Consider the following 23,143-nt stretch of genomic DNA (forward strand, 5'->3'; position numbering starts at 1 on the left):
TTATTTTAAAACCCTGAATTCAATTACCATAGTTTAAAAACTGTGAGTACCTCAAATATACTTGGCAGGAATACATTTTAACAGATGAAGATTGCAGTGAAGAGATGATTTTAGGAGTTACTAGAAGGTATTTTCATTTCTCTTTGGAGGACTGTGATTTATAGACAGGGTCAGTGTAGGTAATCCAGATTCTATAATGAAAAGGAAGAGAACAAAAAAAGAAGCAGTGGGCAAAAATGGACCTTTGGAGACAAGTTAGAAGAATAATTTAATCTAAAATATGTTGGGCTAGTTGCGGTGGCTCACGCATGTAATCCTAGCACTTTGGGAGGCCGAGGCAGGTGAATCACCTGAGGTCAGGAGTTAGAGACAAGCCCAGGCAACATGGTGGAAACCTGTGTCTACTAAAAATACAAAAATTAGCCAGGTGTGTTGGTATGCGCCTGTAATCCCAGCTACTCGGGAGGCTGAGGCACAAGAATTGCTTGAACCTGGGAGGCAGAAGTTGCAGTGAGCCGAGATCATGCCACTGCACTCCAGCCTGGGCAATAGGGTGAGACTCTGCTTCAATAAATAAATAAATAAATAAATAGCCACTACAGGGATAGATAGTTTGAGAAGATAGGGATGGACGTTGGTCTGGAATGTTAACTTTTACAGGGTTTAGCCAGGACTTACAATTGTTAAAGACTCTTTTCCTTTATTTCTCTCTTTTCCTTTATTTCTCTCTTCTTAAAAATTTTGACTTTGAAATTATTACTGAGATGACAGATGGCACTAAGCATCTTTAAAAAAATTATTGCATCTATGACACATCAGCCATAAATAGCTGAATAATCATATCCAACAGCAAATGTACACATAGGCAAAAAATTATTTTGCAAGCAACCTCTATTTTATAACTTTGGCAAAAGCCAATTTAAAAATAATCCCTAAATATGTCTTATTTCAGTGAATATACTATAGCTTTTAAAATGTAATTTAAAGAAAAGCTATAGCAAACATTAGGTTTTGGTATGCTCACAGCAGCAAAATATGAAAAATGATTTGAATAAGTAACAGTAGAAATACTTCTACAGTTGAGGTCACAGATAGGTAAACAAGATGGAAAACATTCTGTACCATTAAAAATCTGTCAGTGATAAAGTTGTTTATTTAACGGGGGTGCAGAAGTTCTTCTGCCTTTATAAAACTCCCATGAGGAATCATTAGTAGCTTAGTATTCATAGATTGAGAGAAGTACAGGAAAATCAGACCTAGTTTGAGTAGAGATTACCATCTGGTAATTGAAGGCAGTGGTAAATGAAAGAGATTCCAAATGTCATCTCTTCCTGGAATGAAAGTTTATTTAAAGCATTTTAGTTTTGTATATACATGACTCTTTGCTAGCAAAAAAATAGAAGAAATGGATGAATTTGAAATTTTCCTAGGAAATTTACTAAAGTCAACCCTCCTAAAGTTGTCTGTGGTACCATATACTCAGAGTAGAACAGGAAGCAAATGCGTCACCCCTTTCTCATTTTCCTTGCCTCCATGGATCACTGGGAAAAGGAGGGCACAGTAGTTGATGGGGCATCCTTCAGAGATGGGACCAGCTATTAGATCAGGAATTTCAGGGTTGGAAGTGAGCAGGGTTGGCGGCCAATGTGTATTGCTGAAGGCAAGAACTGCGGAAGAACAGGAACCTAGGCAGACAAAAGTGATACAGATTTTCAAGGTAAGGAACACAGAAACAGCTGGTCAGGAAAGTAAGTGCAAAGCATAACCAACCAAACTGCTAGAGTGTGCCAATCACACTAAAACAATCTTCTGGCTGGTATTCCTAAGTGCTTCCTACAGGACAGGGAATGCTGTTGGGATCCCTCAGCCCTTGGTGAGATAAAGCAAGCAACTATAAGTTGGCAGAAAATGAGAGTACAAAGAGGATAAATATTCAGGGCCACTTCTCTACACGCTCCCCACTGACTAAATTTCCTGATCTGTCAGTGGTTTTCAGTACTTAGCTGCACATTAATGATCTTGGAAAGGTTTTAGAGAATACCCAGGCTCTGCCCCATGCAAAATCAATTAAGGCAGAATCTCTGAGAAGTGGAGCCCAAATACCAGGATATTTTAGAAGCTTTCCAGGTGATTCTGGAGTCCACCAAAAGTGAGAAACCACTCTAGGTCTGTGTGGATTATGAAACGCTGTGCAATTATCCAGCTAATCTTTATTTAATTAGACTAATTCATCTTACAAATGTTCAGCATGTCTAGATTCTGGGGAGCTGAAGCAAAGGGTCCAGGAACAATATAAAATATTTCTGCATGTTAGGTTGTTAGGATGCAGGCTGTCCTTAGGAGGAGGTGTGATCTTAGTGGGATAGTTTTCTCCAGCAAAGGCTGGAGAGTGAACAGCTGAGAGATGTCTGCTGCGGCTATCACAGCAGCCGGGCAATGAGCCCATCATTTCTGAGAGAGGATCTGAGCCAGTGGCTCTTTGAGCATCCTCTGTAGTCCATGCTTTGCACCTGTCAGACCCATGTCTTTGTGTAGGGACTGGGAGAGGCTTTTCCAGGACTCCCCTGGGCCTCCTTTCTGGATGGGGGAGGGGATAATTTAGGAGAGAAAAATTAAAAGGATTCGCTATAGCCCTTGCAGCCCCAGCTTGTCTACAGCTGCCACAGAGTCTCACTTTCCCTCTTCTGCTACCCATTGTAGATTAGCCTCACCCTCTGTCTGAACCTCTGCTGGTCTCTGTGGCTAAGCTGTGGCATGACCAATACCTTCATCCCGGAGGGGCTTGATCCTCTGATTACTCTACCCTTCTCAGACCAGGATTATTGCAGTTGTCCATTTATCATCAAATTTGTGCAAGGAAGTACTAAGAGGGACCCCAGTAGATACCTGGGTGCCAAACGTATTCCTTCTGGCTCCCATTGTGTAACAATAGCCCTACCTGCTTCTGATGATTAGGGTGGAGCAGCTTTGCCAAGGTGGCGATTGATCTTCTTGGCTGTGGGTGCCTTGGAAACCCACAGACCAAGTGTTTCAGGGATTGGAAGCTCACATTACCCAAGTGAGTCATTGGAAATGATGCGTTCATTTCCCAGTGCTGCCCTAGCAAGTTACCACAAGCTCGGTGGCTTAAAACAACAGAAATGTATTCTGCCACAGTTCTGAAGGTCAGAAGTTGGAAATCAGGATGTTGTCAGGCCATGCCTCCTCCTTCCTCTTTTGGCCTTTGGTGTCTTCCAGCAGTCCTTGGCATTCCTTGGTTTGTGGCAGCATAACTACAATCTCTGCCCCTATCCTCACACGGTCTTCTTCCCTCTGTGTGTGTCTGTCTCTGTGTTTCTACATACAAATTGCCCTCTTCTTATAGGGGCACCAATCATTGGATTTGGGCCTATCATAATTCAGTAGGACCTCATTTTAATTTGGCTACATCTGCAAAAACCCTATTTCAAAATAAGGTCAGGGCTGAATGTGATGGCTCACACTTGTAATCCCAGAACTTTCTGAGGCCAAGATGGAAGGATCACTTGAGCGCAGGAACTTGAGACCAGCCTGGGCAACATAGTGAGACCTCATCTCTTAAAAAAAAAAATTAGCTGGTTCTGGTGGCACACACCTGTAGTCCTACGTATTCGGGAGACTGAGGTGGAAGGATCACTTGAGTCTAAGAGGCCGAGGCTGTAGTGAATTATGATAGCACTACTGCACACCAACCTGGGCAACAGAGTGGGACCCTATCTCAAAACAAACAAAACCAAAAATAAGGCCACATTTGTAGGCCCCAAGGGGTTAGGACTTTGTCATCTCTTTTTGTGGGCACATACAAACCTCGACAGATGTTAAGCACGGTCATTTCTGCTTTCACCCTTGGTTCCTGGACCTGGGTATTCTACCTCTCAGGAATGTGGCATCATATACAGGTCTTTGAATATATATAGTGAATATAAAGTGTCCTGAAGTATAGCATCCCTTCCTTGTAAAGTGTTGTTAAATACCTATTTCCTGGGTCTCCTGATGGTAGTTTGCCTTAAACCAAATAGGATATGTGATGCTGGTCTTTTCTCTGCCAGCATGCTCTTGAGTATTCTCTTTTTTTTAACCTCCTATGAAAAAAAAAAAAGCTGCCACCCAAACCAACCACCCCTAAGTCTTACCTCTTGACAAGGTATCTTTCTTTGCTCTGAGAATAATAAAAATCACATAGAAACTTGAGTGCTTTCTCTTTTAAATGAAAGGGGACGTTTTGTTATAAACATTGTCATTTTCTAAGTGCCCTTTATTCAATTTTTTTTCTCCTAAACTCTTCTTAAGGCTCTTTAAAAGATAAATCTTGGCCAGGCGTGGTGGCTCACGCCTGTAATCCCAGCACTTTGGGAGGCTGAGGTGGGTGGATCACGAGGTCAGGAAATCGTAGCCATCCTGGCTAACACGATGAAACCCCGTCTCTACTAAAAATACAAAAAATTAGCCAGGCCTGGTGGCGGGCATCTGTAGTCCCAGCTACTGGGGAGGCTGAGGCAGGAGAATGGTGTCCCGGGAGGCAGAGCTTGCAGTGAGTCGAGATCACGCCACTGCACTCCAGCCTGGGCGACAGAGCGAGACTCCCTCTCAGAGAAAAAAAAAAAAAAAAAAAAAGATAAATCTTTTAGTTTTCCATTTGGGTTTTACACAATATTTATAATTGAAACAATATAGCTTTTTTACAAAAGAAGAAATCGTTTCCAGGATGGAGATTTCCAAAATGTTAGGAGTCTGTGGGAAGGTGTAAACCCACCTCTCTTCAGACAGCACGGTTCCAATCAGCCTAGTTGTGCCAGCTCCTATTGGAGGAGGATGGGAGGTTTCACGACGACTCAATGGCCAATTAAATGCTTTCAAATTCATAGTTTATTGCAAGGATTTCACACACCAACAATCATGCAAATATACTCAATGCACACAGGCAGACATAAAAGAGAGGGGGAACAAACCATGGTGAGTAGCTCAGGAGGCCCGCAGGCTGACTGAGGCACAAGGAAGGCCTGGATTTCCCTGGAAACACTGACCAGCAAGGGGATGGGGGTCCCTGCTCATCTCCTGGCAGAGCTTCTAGCAGCCACTACCAATGGCGAGGAGGCCTCAGAGTTCTCCTGGCAAAGCTTCTGCAGGCATCTCAACTATTGTCAGTTTCTTGCTGTTTTTATGGATCTCCACAGGAGTGTGTCCGTAGTCATCATCTCAGCCCCTTTAGCTTCACTTTCCTGTGGTGTCTCTGAGGTGCCTGGCCATGGGAGGTGTCATCTTATCACCTCAGTCCACCATACATGTGCTTATCACTTTGAAGGGTCAGCAGTTTCACTGTGGGCTGAGTGACTTGTCATAAATGACTCCATTTCAAGACATTTAGAATCACAAAACATTATTATGTATCACACGGCCATTCTCACATGTCATAATGGGATCAACAAATCTTGCTTCTCTCCCAATAACTGGGACCAATTCTGAGGAATTATGACCCATGGTGACCATTTCTGGGGAATTCTAGCAGTGCGTGTGCTGTGTCTTATTTAACCAAACAAGTGTGCTATCAAAAGAGAATGTTAGCAGACTGACACTGTTCTTAAAATTATTCTTCAGAGATTCTATGTTTTTCCTGATTAATCTCTTTCTTGGGAAAGCCTTGAAAGGTATTTTGAGTAAGTGGAAATGTAGCCCGCTTCAGTCTAAGAATAATTTAATCTTTAATTTTCTCTAACATTCATTAGGTTTTCCTTTTTTGCTGACTACCTAAATTTAATGGAATGTTTTTCTTCCTCTACTTGAAAAGTAGTAGAAGTAAATAAACTAAATATTCAACCAAGTATGTTGATACTGCTTTTGAGAAATATATTATTTTATGGATGAGAACTAAGGAAATTAGACAAGGAAATGCCAAATTTAACATGTTTGAAATTAACATGTTATTTAATTTGGTAGAATGTCATTCTGGGTTTTTTATAACAATAAATAAACAAGTTGTTTAGCTAAAATAGGGAATGTTGTCATCTTTCCTCTTCTCTGTCATACAAATTTTAGTTTTTAAATATAAAACTCATCTTTTTTTGTTCATTCCCCACAACCCTATACATGTGACACAGAATTCTTACTAAGACTCTTGGCAAAATTGTTAGGCACTTTTCCAATTTTTAAAAAATGTTATGTGATTGTGAATTTTAACTGCCTTGTTAATTTGGAATAATATTGTCAAAAATGTAATGAAAATGGAAATTTATGAGATTGTAGAAGTATTCATTAAAATTATATTAAATTATGTTTACATACTTGTTCTTATATAAAATTTGGGACAGGACTGGCCATTCTGGCCAAAGTTGAACCATCAAGATCTTTACAAAAATTAGTTCCCAGGTGGTTTCCCCCAAGCCCTCTCCCCTCACAGTTCCACTGCTGTGCCATCCCACTGTTCTCCTTCCTGTCTTTCTGGTTTTAAGTCACAAATCAAAGTGTTTTTGCATGGACCCTTCTCTTAGTCCTACAAACTTTGTGTTTGGCTAAGCACACTCTGCATAATCAGTATCTCTTTGGAATTAAATTAGGTAATACCTGTACAGCATTTGGCATGTTGCCTAGTAAATAAAACTCATTCAATAAGTAAGAATACTCATGAGCTGTCTTAATACTAGTATTTAATTAAATTCTTTCTCATTAACCATAATTAGTAGGTACTTTTATGTTGCAAGTCAAAAATGCAGAACCTGAGAATCTCAGATATTAATTACCTTGACCAAAGTCACACAGCAGAAACTGGAATTTTACTCTAATACATCAGCTTTCCAGCTGTTAAGAGTAATTTATCTTGAAGTATGACTATTGACAGACTGAATCCTCCTGGGATATTTACCTTTCCTAAATAGCAGCTTGTGAACATGGCATGTATTTAAGGATTATTTTATCAGGGAGAGTTTCTTTTATTTCCTGTGTGTATTCAGGACCAGAATTTCGTTGAGCCAGTTACAACTATTCTAATTAACGAAGATGTAGGCTCTAAGAGAGAAAGCCTGTCCTTTTCCCTTTGAAGGGTTGCTGAAAATGAACTTGCAATAGGCAGATTAATAAGGAGACAAAGCATACAAAATTTATTGAATGTGCACGGGGCAAAATCATGGGAGAGTGATTACCCAATAATTCAGTGAGGTCCAGATACTTATATACCCTTCTTCATAGGCGATGGGAGAGGTGGGGAATGTAGGAGGCAGTAAAATGTTTATTAGGGAGAATGAATGGGCCCAAGAGACAGAAATTAACTTGTAAATGATTGTCTTGGAATTTGAATGAGCTGGAGAAATAGATATTATCTTGTGGGAAAAGTCCTTCTAGGTGGGTTACATTCCACAGTCTTCTTTTCTAGGATAGATAATGAGATTTCCAGGGAGGGTAGGGAAAGCAATTGTGTTTTCTTTTGCAGGTCTAGTCTTAAGGTAGATAGGGCATATCAGAGAAAAGCCTCATCCAATATCTGCTGACTTGCAGAAGCCTTTAATTTAAAGTAATCAGTATACCAAAGTGTCATATTTTAAGGGTAAAGTTTCCTGGGCTCCTTCCCAGAAGCCATAAGAAATAAACAAATTAAAAATCTGTGAAACAAGCACACAAATTTCATTTTCTGTACTGAAGTAAATGTAGTATGTTTTCTCCCTAATCTTCCACAATTGCTTTTCTCAAGTATAAACTGGTTTTTTAAATTTCCATTTAAAAAAAATCTGCAAATTTGACATGGATCTTTAAAATTTTATTGTTTTTCTTCAGTGTTCTGGAATTCTGACTAGTTTAATAAAACTATAGCACAGCTAAAATGAGCAGTCAGTTTCCTATTTCCCCCCCTCAAAATGGTGATAGTTTCTTTCACTTTAAAGAAATCTCGTGATTTAGTTTAGAAACTAGTGCATTTAGCAGTCTTGAAAGAAGATTGTTTTGAATTTTGAAATTGTTTATTAAAAATTGAGGCTCATAAGTAGTGATGCATTTCAAGGGAAAATAATTTACATTTCCAACTTGGATCCATAGCCATTCCTGTTACTGGCAACCTTTCCACAGGAAATCTTGTATATCTGGGCCCTTGTCCTGTGATTTATTTCCTCTCCAAAATTTTTTAAATGATACCTCATAAGGGTTAAAGGAAAAATACTGAATCAAAAATGTTATTAAAAAGGAAATTTATATGCTTTTCAAAATACATTTAAAATTAGTGAGATATTATAACTAAATTGACAATTTGAGTAGAGGTGATTTTCTAAGATTTCAATTTATACTTTTTATTACATTAATATTTCTTAATGAAGGTTATACAAGAATGTGAATATGCATGGGGAGTGAAAATTTCCATTTTTTTACTCTGACATGTTTTTGTTGTTGTTACTGTTGTTTTAGAAGACAGAGTCTTACTCTGTCCCCCAGACTGGAGTCCAGTGGCACGATCCTAGCTTACTGCAGCTTCAAAATCCTGGGCTCAAGTTATCTTCCCACTTCAGCCTCCTGAGTAACTAGGACTACGGGTGCATGCCACCATGCCAGGCTAATTTTTTAACTTTGTTTTTTTAGAGACAGGGTCTCGCTATGTTGCCTAGGCTAGTTTTGAACTTCTGACCTCAAATGATCCACCAGCCTTGGCTCTCAAAGTGCTGGAATTATAGGCATGAGCCACTGTGCCAGGCCTCTGACATACGTTAATGCACAGTTCTGCCTCTCATACATATGTTGCGAATATGTACATATATGTGTCATATGTAATAGACGTGTGTGTATAAATATCAAATACATTGGAAGTGTGAGTTTAGCTTCACAAAGAATGTTGTAGGGGAGGAAAAATAATTTTCTCTCTACCTTTCATAGTTCTTCGTTGGGATGGTCCCCATAGCAAAAGACAAGTTAACAAGAGAAAAACAAACAGAAGTTTAATAACAGGTATACCTCATGTATACATGGGAGATACCTAAGGAATAGTGACTAAATCTGAAAGAGGTAGCTTTGAACTTAGGCTTAAATATAACCATTTTCTACTGAGAAGAAGGGTCTAGGGAAGGCCCAGTTATGGGGAGGTGACCAGGAAAGCACCATAAAAAAAAGGGTAAGATTTGTTGTGCAGATAAAACTATCTGTGATCATCTTCCTTCTCTTCCTAGTACAGAGGGGGAGACACTGTTACAAGTAGAGGTTTCCTTTATGGATGTAAATTTTCCTTATCAAAGGGAAACTTCTACTCGGTTTTCAGAGTTTCTCCTGTGTCTGCGTGCAGTTTCTCAAAATAACCAGATCAAAATAATCCTTATGCCAATGAGGCATATTTTGGGGTGATATATTCTGGTCTCCTACAGTTATATTTTGGAGCGGCATATTTTGGGCTCCCACAACATATACAAAATGTTTTAAAAATAGAGGACAGTTAAACCAGAAATTTTCTTTGCCCATTGGACAGAAAAATCACCAAATGTTTGATATTTATTTTGAGAGCAGAACAGTTTTCATTCATTTTTGGACCTAACATAGTTTTTTTGCATATATGTTGATAATTGGTCCTATTTGCTAAATTTACTAATAATCAATAAAATTATACTACACGTGGAGAAATTGAGTTATAAAGTTGCTTGTAAAATATGTTTACTTGTTTACACAGCACTAGAGAGCATGGAAGGATATTATTACAGAGACAATGTTTCTGTGGAAGAATTTCAAGCTCAGATAAATGCAGCCTCACTGGAAAAGGTCAAACAGTACAACCAGAAGCTCAGGTATGTAACAATCCAACTGAAAAATAATGAGTGTCTATATTTTGATAGAAATGTATTAATAGGACTTTTGATGCTATTTATCATATTAGATTATTAATGACATTTCTTTTGATATAAATTCCTCGGATTTAGGGTTTAATATTTTAAATATTCTAATTTGTTATACTTTTTCCCAGTAAAAATAATTAAGTAAAAGTGTGTTGGCATTTTTATGCAAATTTAAAAATTTCTGAAGAGATAAAGAGAAGGGGTTAAATATGTAGTAGACCGTTTCCAAGAAAGAAAATCACTGACATATGTTATAGTGGTGTCCCCTATAAGATTTATTGGATTAAGGGTAAAACAGGTTTCTCTATGTACCACCAAATAGCTGGCACCCCCACACAGAGAGAAGAATATGTGTTCAGCATGGAAGATATGATTGATCATGTGCTTGGTATTGGAAAAATATGTACTTTCAAATGTGTCCCTTAATGCTTGCATTTTACTGTCTTTTTCCCCCCAAAAAATAGTGTTACTGGTACAATGATAAATGACAGGGAAAATTAACCACAGTAAGTGAAAAGAAATGTGTTATAATTCAAAAGCTTTATTTGTCAACAAATTATTAGTGTATGTGTGTGTGAATATATATATGTATATATATATTCACATATATATGTGTATATATATGTGTGTATATATATGTATATATATATACACACATATATGAATATATATGTGTATATATATTCACACACACATATCTCCTTCTTATCTTATGAATTACCCTGTTGACAGATCACTTTTAAAAACTTAACAAATTAAGGCTTTTATTTTTAAAAGAAAAAATATTTTTGTTCTATCTTGAGCCTTAATAAATCAAAAATACTATTTTGACATTTTTAATTTTTTGTCCTGTCAACTTAAAAGGAAGAACCTGAGACAAAATTAGTATAAGTAGAGAGTTTATTTGGGCCAAGCTTGAGAATTGCAAGCCAGGAGCATAGATTCAAATTGCTCTGAATGTTCACTCAAATTAGCAGCAATTACAAATAGATTTTTAAAGGAAAAAATGGGAGACAAGGAGTGAGCTGATACAAAGTTGTTTGTCAGGCATTCTCACTGATTTACAGAAATAACATTGACAAGTGGTTGGCTATGCATTGTTAAGCTCTAGGGTGTGGGTTGTAGCATCAAGTGTGGCATCTTTATGTTAAGTTACAGCTACTTATGGTGATAGCCAGCAGTTTCAAGAGATAAATACATAGCGCAAAGGGACTAGGAGGATGTAATTGCTGTTTCATTTTAATGTCTCTCTGGGCCTGTTAATTAAAATAGCTTGCATTCCTCAGATGAAAGTTATTTTCTTCTCTCATTTCCCCCTTTTGATCAAAAATCTTTCTTCTTAACAGCATTGATGATCAAAATTTGAGTTTCAAGGTGTCCATCATCAGGAAGGCTCATTCCCAAGTAGTTCTGTCAAAGTCATTGATTTATGGCTGCTGTTGCTTGTTGAATCGTAGCTAGACTTCAGAGTATCGTCAATTTAGTTTCATCAGAAGAAGGAAAACAACAAGAGATAGTGGAAATATAATCCATGTAAGGATTATAACTAAAAATAAAATTTGAATGCCAGAACAGCAACAAAGACAGAACTATTCCATTAGGCAGTCAACTAAAAATATCATGAAGAAAATTAAATCCAGGTTCTTCTTTAGAGACTCATAGCTGGGAAGTAATTCAAGATTTAATCCAAATTGTAGGCAAATAATAAAACTCAAAAACAATGGACAAGACTAGAATCTAATAACCGGCATACTATAGTTTTTTTCTGAAACATTTTTTCTTTATCCAGTTCTCCATTTTTACCAAAGACAAATCTTAGTTGAACCAATTTATTTGCAAAATAAGTTTTAGTGTTATGATGCTTTGCCTACTTATTTGCATAAAGTGCAAGAAGAATAGTGAATGGCCATATAGTCTCTTTTAAGTTGGCTTTACCGGGACTTCCACAGTAGCTTTAGATTCAGCTTTTAAAAGCCCCAAGGCCAGCCAATCCAAGGATTTGCCCTCAGACTGTCTGCAGTACTTGTAAAAAATGGGTGAACTCTGCTCTTCTTGAGATCCCAAAATAACCTGAGTTCCTGGTCCTGTCAGAAAGTGACATTCTTTAGTTACCATGAGGACAGAAACCTTATAAAGGAATTGTGCAGACAAAGTACCAGACCAGTCTTTCCAAGGGTTTTTTTAATTGGCTCTATAAAGTCCACATCAATTCCTCAAAGCAGTCTGATTATATCTGAAACTATGCCATTCCAGTCAAAGTTTCAGTAAAAGAACCAGTATATCTAATTATGTATCTTAAAAAAGAATACAGATTTTTGTTGAATTTATATAAACAACTACATTGCTAGAAATTAAGAGTACTCACAAATAGTTCCCAAATTTTGGAGAAATGTGATACAGAGAAAGTCAATTGTTTTGGCTTTACTCACAAAAGTATACTTCACCCAATTGCTATAAGCTGTAAATGGCTCACAAAGAAAAAAAATAGTTTTCTTGACTCTAGAAAATAAAACATAAAAAGCATCAGCAATATCTCAAACAAAAAAATCATTAAAAATTATTTTAGTCCTCTATTAGTTTAGTCTCATGGAATTAATTCTTGTTCCACTTGATGTTGGGTTAGCAATTCTCATGAACATATCAGCTCTTCAGTTAGAATCCTGGAAGTTTTTTCTTAGTCCAATGGTATGATCTCCAAGTAATCAGAAACCTATATTCACATCAGTCTTTTCCATCCTTGCATGAACTTCTTTGAAGACACAACACTTTAGAATTTTACTTGCTTGTAGAGATCTTTTAGAAGATGCATCAGAATTAAGTAATTAACTGTGCAAATGACTTAAAATCATCATAGTTATATATACAATTGAAAAGTAAATTTGTTTATGTCTGTGGCCTATAATAATTTAACATAATAAGCATAATTATCACTGATAACATATATCAAGGCAAACCAGAATTTTAGAAAGCTCATATAATTTTAGGACACATATTACTAACACATTTATATAAATATACCCAAAGAATGCTAAACACCATTTCTTATTTGATAGTACTTCCTGTATGAATGTAATATACCAAATAAGCCTAATATGTCTGTCTTGGACTTACAGGGGTTACTTTGGGAAACACAGTTTTAGAATTTGAAATGTGATTTGAGGAAGTATGTCAAATATTAAAGGTTTAAAACATTTGTTCAAAATAGGATCATAAGTAACTACAAAATGAGATTCATTTAGCCAAAATGATAATTCCAAGATTTCAAAAGGCAAAAATCTTTATTCTTTGATAGAGAGAAGACTTAGTTTTTCAAAAAATCAAAATACCTAATAAAGACAGTATGAGACCAACAGAATCTTTCTCTTTTTTGACAGTTTACTCAAAAGGTAAACAAAAGATTTTTATTATCTCATTAATATTGTGTAAAAATCCTATTCAAAAGAAAATACCAAGTTCTACCTTTGCATCAGTGTATTATTAATGGTAAAGTTATTTTAATAAAACCTTATAAACAAATCCATCCAATCTTAATCAGCTTTGACCACACAAGATAAGATTTTCATAAACCTTTTATAACCTTTTAAAATTTTCTTTTCTTTTCTTTCTTTCTTTCTTTTTTTTTGGGGGGGGGACAGAGTCTCCCTTTGTTGCCCAGGCTAGAGTGCAATGGCATAGTCTTGGCTCACTGCAACCTCTGCCTCCTGGATTCAAATGATTCTCCTGCCTCAGCCTACCAAGTAGCTGGGACTACAGGCACTTGCCACCACGCCCGGCTAATTTTTGTATTTTTAGTAGAGATGGGGTTTCACTATGTTGGCCAGGCTGGTCTCGAACTCCTGACCTCGTGATCTGCCCACCTCAGCCTCCTAAAGTGTTGGGATTACAAGCGTGAGCCACCATGCCTGGCCTAAAATTTTCTATTAGAGAGCAGAACAATGCTCTAAGAAAACCCTGTTATTCTAATAGCACGCCCCAGATCCTGACCCTGCATCAGTGTGCTTTTAATATTAATGTTAAGTTTTTAGAAAAACTAAATAATCCCCTTTTAATTTCAGCCAACTTGATCACACACAAAATTTCTTTCACAAGATCCATCTTCCGCAAACCTTCTACAGCTTGCTTAAAACATCAGTTGTATCCTACATTTTACCATAGGACAAAAATTTACTTTCCCTTCTCCCTTATTGTGACCATATAAAGTTCTCTCTCAAGTAAAAAAAAAAAATTACTCTATCTTTTCAACTTTCTTTACATCGTATTTTCTTTATATGTTCTGTATATAGACATGTTTCTCTTATATCTGGTAGTTTTAGTTACACATACTGATTACAGTTTGCATTAGTTTGTTCTCATACTGCTAATAAAGACATACCCAGGACTGGGTAATTATAAAGGAATGAGGTTTAATTGACTCACAGTTCCATATGGCTGGGGAAGCCTCACAATCCTGGTGGAAGGCAAGAAGGAGCAAGTCACATCTTACATGGCAGCAGGCAAGTGAGAGAGAGCATGTGCAGGGGAACCCCCATTTAGAAAACCATCAGATCTCTTGAGATTTATTCAATATCATGAGGACAGCATGGGAAAGACTCACCCCCATAATTCAATTACCTCCCACTTGGTCCCTCCCACAACATGTGGGGATTATGGGAGCTAGAATTCCAGATTTAGGTTGGGACACAGCCAAACCATATCACAGTTTTAACCTAGTCACTAATTTTCAGTGAAAAACCTAAAAAGTAAGTAATTTTGAACGATTTTATACTAGTATTTTTTGATGAAAACCATTTTATAATTCCTTAGAAAGAGGTTTTCTCAATTTCTGTTTACTAACAGATCTAAATATATTTAGTTTTACTATGCCATATAGAAATATGATATTAAAGTATATAAATGTGAATTTATGTTTAACAATTAATGTTTCAGTATTTTAACTTACTTAGAAATGACTCAGACATTTTATGATTAGCTATTACTTAATTTAACATAACACAATCTTAAGACTTTTAAATTACTGAAAAGAATTAGGAAATTATGAAACAGGTACCCTCTATAATGTCTTCCCCAGTTGTCCTAGGTCCCTAATATTTACATGGCATCCAAAGATGGCAATGAAGAGAATGGCTCACCTGGTTCCTGAATTTCCACACCAAGTACAGAGCTCAGAACAGAGGAGAGAGCTGTGAAGAGTATGATTGGAGGATCGGACCCCTCCCAGCATGGCCAGGAGGAAAAGCTGGGCCAGGGAGAAAGAGGCCATGTTAAGCTTTATTTTGCATTTTAGTTGGTGGTCTAGGCTCTGAGGACTTGTCCCCAGACCTCACTGTGGCCATCTGTCCAGATCCCAGATCTACATGCTCAAATCCAAAGACATAAGCTCACAGACAAATTAAGCAAATATTTTAAAATATCATACAAGCTACAGTTTTATGACCTTAAAATATCTAGCAGAGATAGTATAAACTTGTCTGACCAGCAAACACAGACAAAAATGTCCAAATTATGAAGCTCTTCCTATTTTATTTTACCAACAATTTTTAAATTATCTTTATTTACCAAAGATTACTAAAATCGTGTGAATTTGAAAAGCATTTGGTCTAGTTATTTAATTTATGGGTACACTTATGTACAAGCCAGTTTGGTGTTATAGACAACATACAAAAAAAAGATGTGTACACATGTATACACAAAAATACAGGCAGTCATAAAGATCTTATAGGTTTAGTTTTAAAACTTTAGCCATGAGTCAGATAAAACTCTCTAGTTTAAAAGGACAGTTGTATTCAAACTGTGTCTTTGTAAATGGAAAAGGTTAAAGTTTATCTGTTTCATGTGGCTGAAGCCCTTACTGAATTTTAGAGAAACAGGGTAGCAAATTTGCATCTCAAATCAAAGATAGAAAATGTAATATTTTTAAAGAATGAATTTGGGTATGTTAGAGGAAGGTTAAAAATGAATTTCAAGGTAACACAAAATCATAGGAATTTACCATAGAATTTCATAAGGAGGCCAATTTCATTTAGATAGGTAGCTTTTAATTTAGTGTCTGTTTTCCAAATGGGCTTAAGGTGGAGCCCATTAAGGAACAGGGTCAACAAAGTATTTGCAGTTTTTAAAGCTGAATAATTTAAATACGTGAAAAGCAGTCACAGTTGGAAGGCAGAGCAATTAGATTTTTTTAAATCAAGCATTCTAATTTTGCACTGAATCCTGGATTCTCCCCTCACAAAGAAAGGGAAACACCATGGGACCAGGCCAAGCAATGCTTCTACAGTGCACTGTGCTACAAAGACATTTCTCCAAGGTTTAAACCTCACCTGTCTCATCTAAACTCCCAAGGAAATGAGTAGTGTCCTGTAGCAATAACCATTTATTGTAAACAATAGCCCTCAGCCACCTCCAAAACTGCAGTTCTGCCAGTGACTCTCCAGTCATCACATACACCAAGGTCAAGTTCTCTCTTAGTACAAAGTAATCTCTGGTAGTCCTGAAAGCCAACGAGATCAGGTAACACAGTACAAAAGACGGCGGTAGGGTATGAGACCTCAGACGAATCTGTCCATGACTCTCTAGACTTTACAGGAAGACAGATGACCCAAAAAAGGGGTCAGTGGCACCTTTTTCTGTGTTTCTTAAACAGTCTGAGTCATTAGATATCTCTCCCAGATCATTTTATGTGGTACCTAAGATGGCAAAGAGGAAAAAGGAGTCAGGAAAGAATAGAAGTAAACAATAGAACAATTTTTAAGAAAGAAAGTAAGCAGAGGGAACCAGCAGATAATTAATGAAGGATTTCCATCCACAGGAAAATAGTAGTCCCCAAAACAGGATCCAAAGAGAAAAAGCAGAAAGGCCTTAATATGTATTATATATATATATATACACACACACACATATATATACACACACACTATATATATTAATATATGTATATAATGTGTTTGTGTGTGTGTGTACTTGAATATCAGCTTTTAGTCAAGCTGACTTCTGACCATAGCATCCTTTTAAAAAATACATTTTAATAAATCTTTTATTATCAGATTATAGCCAAGAAAAACAGCTGGTGATCTGGCTTTTTTTTCTTTCTTTTTTTCTTTTTTCTTTTTTTTTTTTTTGAGACAGAGTTTCACTCTTGTTGCCCAGGCGGGAGTGCAGTGGCACGATCTTGGCTCACCTCAACCTCCACCTCCTGGGTTCAAATGATTCTCCTGCCTCAGCCTCCCGAGTAGCTGGGATTACAGGCATGTGCCACCACGCCAGGCTAATTTTGTATTTTTAGTAGAGGCAGGGTTTCTCCATGTTGGTCAGGCTGGTCTCGAACTCCCAACCTCAGGTGATCTGCCCGCCTTGGCCTCCCAAAATTCTGGGATTACAGGTGTGAGCCACTGAGCCCGGCCAAACCTTTTTTTTTTTTTTTTTACCAAAGGCACTCTCCTGAGTAGCAAAGTCAAAAGTCACAAAAATATTAAACCAAAAGGAGCTAATTCCCTAATCAGGAGTAAAACCCAGGCCCTGGTGGTAAAAGCACAAAATCATAGCCACTAGACCACAGAGTACAAGGCTTTCTTACTTTTGCCTTTTTTTTTTTTGGTTTTTAAATCTTGCTGGGTATTCAAAGCAGCCTGTTTGAGCATTTAGAGGATTTTAACTTGATTCAGATGTAATCTCAGCAGGAGTGCTGCCTCAGCTCATTCCCTGGATGTTAGCATTTCAACATCAGCATCAATAATTCGTCTTGGTTTAAAGAAAATGGTCGGATCTACATGTTTATAATCTCAGTACTTTTATTTTCATTCATTTCCCCATTTTAGACTATTAGTCTTTTAATTACCTGTTATATCGACCTAAGCAATTGTCAGCTAGGCAACAAAGGTGTATTTTGGAGACCCATCTTGTTCATTGGGTGGTGTTTTTATTCATTTATTTATTTACTTAAGTTTCTCTTTTTTTATCCCCCATCCCCTCGGTGTTTTCACGGACGGGTTTTTTAGTTGAGCAAAGAATAGTTTGAGAACCAGGCATTCCCCAGAACCAGAAGTTGCTCACAGCGACTCCAGGACTGGAGTCACTATGTCACAAGAGGAGTTTCAGGGAGGGAGTCAAACACCTAGGGAATTCCCTGTGGTGGTGGTGATGGGTATGTACTGTTTACCTCCTGAATGGAGGCAATTGTCTCAGGATTTCTTTTAGAAGTTTTTTTTTCAGTACCATTGGAAGTAGGTCTTTAATTATCTGGTTCCAAAACCAGCTTTTTCTTATTGTGCACAAAAATAAATTATTTTAGGTATTTCAAAAGATCCCCAGTTTTGGCAAGGTTTATTGTTTGACTATTCTATGTTAGGTGGGTCCACTTTCCTAGATATTTACAAGAAGATGTCCATAGTGTTATATATAAATTCAGCTGATGTTTAATAGGAGTTGGTCACAGATGAAAAATGAAGCCCAAATTTCAAAAATAGGAAAGTATCTGCAATGTTTTAAAGCATGCTGTGTAAAACCAGACCACTGGTGCCTAACTGGCAATCCTTACCCAAACCTCTGCTATAGACAGGGGCAGGAAAACTTTGACCTGAAGACCCTGGTCCTGAGACAGGCTGAAGGAGGCAGTTCTCTGCAGAGCTCTTTGCCTGAATCATCTGTCTAAAGACAGAGACTGAAGCCCTCATTCGTAAAGGAAAGAGAGAGGGTTTGAAAAACAGCCCAAATAAAGTATAGACCTTTGACCAAAGACTGGGAGGTCTGAATTCAGGTGAACTCACCTGAAACACCCAATAGGACTTCTGAAGATGGAATGTTTGTGCTGGTACCAAGCCCTGCTTTCAGAGAAAAACACCAGGTGGTCCGGGGGAGTCACTCTGAAATCTGCCAAGTTATGCCAAATATGTCGACCTAAAAGGAAGAAACGAAAGCAAAATTAATATAAGTAGAGAGTTTATTTGGGCCAAGCTTGAGGATTGCAACCTAGGAGCATGGATTCAAGTTGCCCTGAATAAACACTTTGATTAGCAGCAGTTAGGAGTGGATTTTTAAAGGGAAGAAAGGGGGATGGGGAGTTAATCTTGACTTCTTAAGAAGTATGTCTACTGACTAAGAAACATTGATTTAAGAAGTTTAAGTCCAATCTTGCAAAAATCTTTCAATTGTCAATTGTCATCACAAGAGAAATTTTGCCTTGATATCTGACAAAATATATTCTTCTGTGGCTGGATGCAGTGATTTGTGCCTATAATCCCAGCACTTTGGGAGGCTGAGGTAGAAGGATCACTTCAGCCCAGGAGTTCAAGACCAGCTTGGGCAAATAGAGAGACCCTGTCTCTACATTTTTTTTTTAATAGCCAGGTGTGATAGCCCAGTTATTCCAGAGGCTGAGGTGGGTGGATGCCTTGAGCTGTGGAGGTCAAGGCTGCAGTGAACTGTGATCATACAGTGCAGCACTCCAGCCTGGGTGACAGAGAAAAAAAATCAAAGTTAAAAATTTATTCTTGCGTTAGTTTTAAACAAAATGCAAAATTAAAGCATTTGTAGAGAACTTGTAGCTCTGAGAATATAACTCTTGACTCCAGTTTAAGAAAATGGGTCTACATCATTGCTGTAGCAATTTAATCTCCTTGTTGGGAAGAACCAGAGTTGTTTGAATTTACTGAGAATTTTGCTTCCAAATAATAATTTTAAGCCACGATTCACACTGTGTCACTGTCCTGCTCAAAGCGCTTTAGTGATGTCTTATTCCCACCTCCTAAAAAAGTCACAAACTCCTCAGCATGGCAGTTGGGATCTTTCATGACTTGGCCCAAGATTGCTTTTGTCTACTGTCTATGGATGCATCAGCAATGATGTGTTCTCTTCTTTTTTTTTTTTTTTGGAGACAGAGTCTCACTCTGTCACCCAGGCTGGAGTGCAGTGCAGTGGTGCAATCTTGGCTCGCTATAACCTCTGCCTCCCAGGTTCAAGCTATTCTCCTGTCCCAGCCTCCCCAGTAGCTGGGACTATAGGCATGCCACCATGCCCAGCTAATTTTTGTATTTTTTGGTAGAGACGGAGTTTCACCATGTTGGCCAGATGGGTCCTGAACTCCTGACCTCAGGTGATCTGCCCACCTTGGCCTCCCGAAGTGCTGGGATTACAGGCATGAGACACCTTGTCTGACCCTCATTTCTAATCATGTGCTGTACTTGCCTTCTTCCATGACTTTTCACCTCTCACTTAGCATCTGCTTCCAACTGTTTATAAAACTACTCTTGGTGTAAATCAATGTCCAGTTCTAGTATAGTTCCCTTTGTAAAATATTTTTCTTTTAGTATTGGACTGGAATAAAAGCTGAGCACTAGAATTTTAGAAAGCTTCTTAGGAGATTCTACTGTGCACCCCAAATTGGAAACAAATCCCCTAAAGTGGTTCTTAAAATATGATCCCGAGACAAGCATCATCTGTATCATCTGCAGACTTGCTAAAAGCTCTTGGATGGGCCCAGCAGCCTTTGTTTTAATAAACTTGGTGGGTGATTCTTATGCACATTCAAATTTCAGAACCATTGCCCTTGGCCAAAATGAATATCAGATCATTCTACTAGTCTTTAAATGTGCTTTATTTATGGTTATTACAGAATTCAGTGTTCCTCGAAAATGATACAGCTACGTGTACGGATTTCTCATCTTTTTATTCTAGTATAAGCTCTTTGATACATGTACTACGTTTATCTTGGTATCACCCATTGTGTTTATCAAAGTATTTTGCCTAAGAATCTCTCCACAAATATATGTGTAGTGCATTAAAGCTTTTAGGTATAACTAGCAGGGAGAAATGGGAATGTGACATACCAGTCACACTCCTGTGGATCTTTTATTAAAAAACAGAAATGTAATATATACTCATATCAAACAGACAGCTGACAAGATGTTTTTAATAATTATACTTTATTAAGAAAATAGCATGAGCATTAATTACATGATACCCTGTTCTCCTAAGAAAACATTTTAATGTCTCTTTCTTGGAGAAAGCATTTTTAAATGTACAATCTCCAGTACAAATTAGGTGCCTTTGTCAGAATTACCTGCTGTATATCCTCCTTGTTGTGTATTAGATTTCCTTTGCACAGGAAGACAATTATCTTCCTTTTGACTTTCAATAATGCCTTCTCATTTTGCTTGCTTCTTGGGTAAGGTGTTGATTTCTTCCTTTATTTTTCCTGTTAATCTGTAACCACAAATACTCCTAAATTGCTTTTGGGCAATCTGCTCTTGGTTTTACGGGCCACAAGCCCACACTGACCAATTCTTTATAGGGGCTCTTACTGCCTGTGTTAAAAAGTCACCCTGAGGTGTCAGTCTTTCCTTAATAACCGAGTGCCTTTTTCACACTTTTACTTCAAACCATTTCATTCTGGAAAGTAATTTGTTTACTTACTAGTTGGACCTCAGAAGATGACTTTTTTTTTTTTAACTTACAACAAACTCTTTATCATTGTCTTAGAAAGCATTGTTTAGATTATAAGTTTCAGAAACCAAACTCAAACTGGCATAAGTAAAATACTGACTTGGCTCGTCTAACAGAGATATCCAGGCTGTGGCCACTTCAGGCACAGCTCTATCCAGGGGGATTACAGGTCCTGAAGATACCATTTCTCTCTCCATCTGCTGAAGTTTCTTTCCTCTGTGTGGCCTTCCTTTTGGGGTAAAGATGGTTCCTACAAACGAGTGTTCTATTCTCAGAAGAAGAAGAGAAGGTGAAACCACCATTCCTTTCTGAGAGCCCCAGTGAAGGACCTGGGGAGGCAATCAGCCAGACCCAGGCCACGCACCCATTCCTGGGTGGGCTTGGCACTAGATAACACCAAGGGACTGTCACCAAGAGTGAGGGTCAGAATGCTGGACAAGCAAAGTCAATGAATTTCACTACAATTATGGAGTTTGTTCCAGAGATGTGGAACAAACTCCATAATTGGAGATGGAACAGACGTGGAACAGGCACGCTGTTCCAGAACAGCAAAGAGGTAGAAGTCATTTTATACTTAAAAGAAAAAGATAACCACAATACCTACCAAATTTTAAGAACATATTAAGAATCAGTCACAATGTTAGGTGAGTTATATGGATTGTTTGAAAACCCAGTGAATTCCATATTATTATTTCCATTTTTAAGGGGAATTTAAGGTTACCCAGATAATCAGTGGGAAAATCAGAATTTAAATCAAAGACATTTTCTCTTTATTATCCATATTGTTTACACTGTATTAGGCCATCTGAGTCAATGGAGTGAACAGTAGACGGTGAGAACAAATTCTGTGTTACTAACCTTTGGTGTCAGATATTATCAGTTGCCCCCAACTGCCCTGATTCCGTTCCATCAGGTATTTATTTATCCAGTCGATGTTCAGGAGATCTTCATTCTTGTGAGAATGAGAAAGACAGAAAATGAACAAGTAAACAAGTCCATAAACAAAGTCTTTTAGATGGTGGAAAATGCAGTGAAGAAAATATAAAACAAGCTGATCTACTAGGAGGTTAGTAATTCAGAGGAGGTGGTTAAGGATGACTTAAATACTAGGTGATATTTGAACATTAGCCTGAATCATAAGGAGACAGCTTTTCTAAAATCTTGGGTAAGATCTTCCCAGAGCCAGTGAATGGATGCACTCAAGTCATAGGAATAAGCTTGTCATGTTTGAGGAAGACAGAGAAGGCCAGTGGGAGTCCAGCACATTGAGTAGAAGGGTGTGTGTTGAGAGGGATGGACAGAGCCCCAGTCATGTAGGGCTGTATGTAGGCCATTGTAGGAAGCTGCTATTTTATTGTAAACAGAATGGAGAGGCCACTGAAGGGTTTTATTGAGTTATTGCTGTCCCTTTGTATTTCATGCATCGATTATCAGTAGTCATGAAAATAGTTAAAGTTTGCACAAGGCAGTAGTGAAGCCGGCCAAGGCCACATGGCTGGCCTGACCATTTTCCCCCGGTCTCCTGTGGAAACACGAACAGAGACAGGCACCTGGAGAGCCTTTGCCACATGCATTATAGCCTTCATCCTAGTTGCCTGGAGAAAACCTGGTTTACTTTTTGACCCCAGTGAATAAACTGAGCTAGCAGAAATGCTTAACAGCTGTTTCCACAATATAACCTCCTCCTGGGCCAAGTCAGTTGATTGATTTCTTTCTATTTATTGAAGAGTAACAGCATGTAAAGTGTTTAACTCTGGAATTCTGACGAAGAAATTCAGGGGATGGGGCATTTTTATCCCCTCCATTCACCATTCTCACCCTGTTTTGTTTTCTCTTTTCTCTCTTACCTAAGTCTTTCCTTTTTAGTCTCTCTGGCCATGAGCTATCATCCCTATCAGCCTCAT

General features: G+C 37.8%; 1 protein-coding gene across 2 annotated transcripts in view; it reads left to right on the top strand.

Moving 5' to 3' along the window:
* Positions 1-23,143, top strand: part of PREX2 (phosphatidylinositol-3,4,5-trisphosphate dependent Rac exchange factor 2) — a 284,987-nt gene that overhangs the window by 195,633 nt on the left and 66,211 nt on the right. For both annotated transcript variants that reach the window (NM_024870.4, XM_047422267.1), the window contains exon 35: positions 9,644-9,758. In NM_024870.4, coding sequence (NP_079146.2) covers positions 9,644-9,758 — 115 coding nt within the window. The remainder of the gene's footprint in view (positions 1-9,643; positions 9,759-23,143) is intronic.

Source organism: Homo sapiens, chromosome 8 (assembly GCF_000001405.40).
Source record: "Homo sapiens chromosome 8, GRCh38.p14 Primary Assembly".
NCBI lineage: Eukaryota > Metazoa > Chordata > Mammalia > Primates > Hominidae > Homo > Homo sapiens.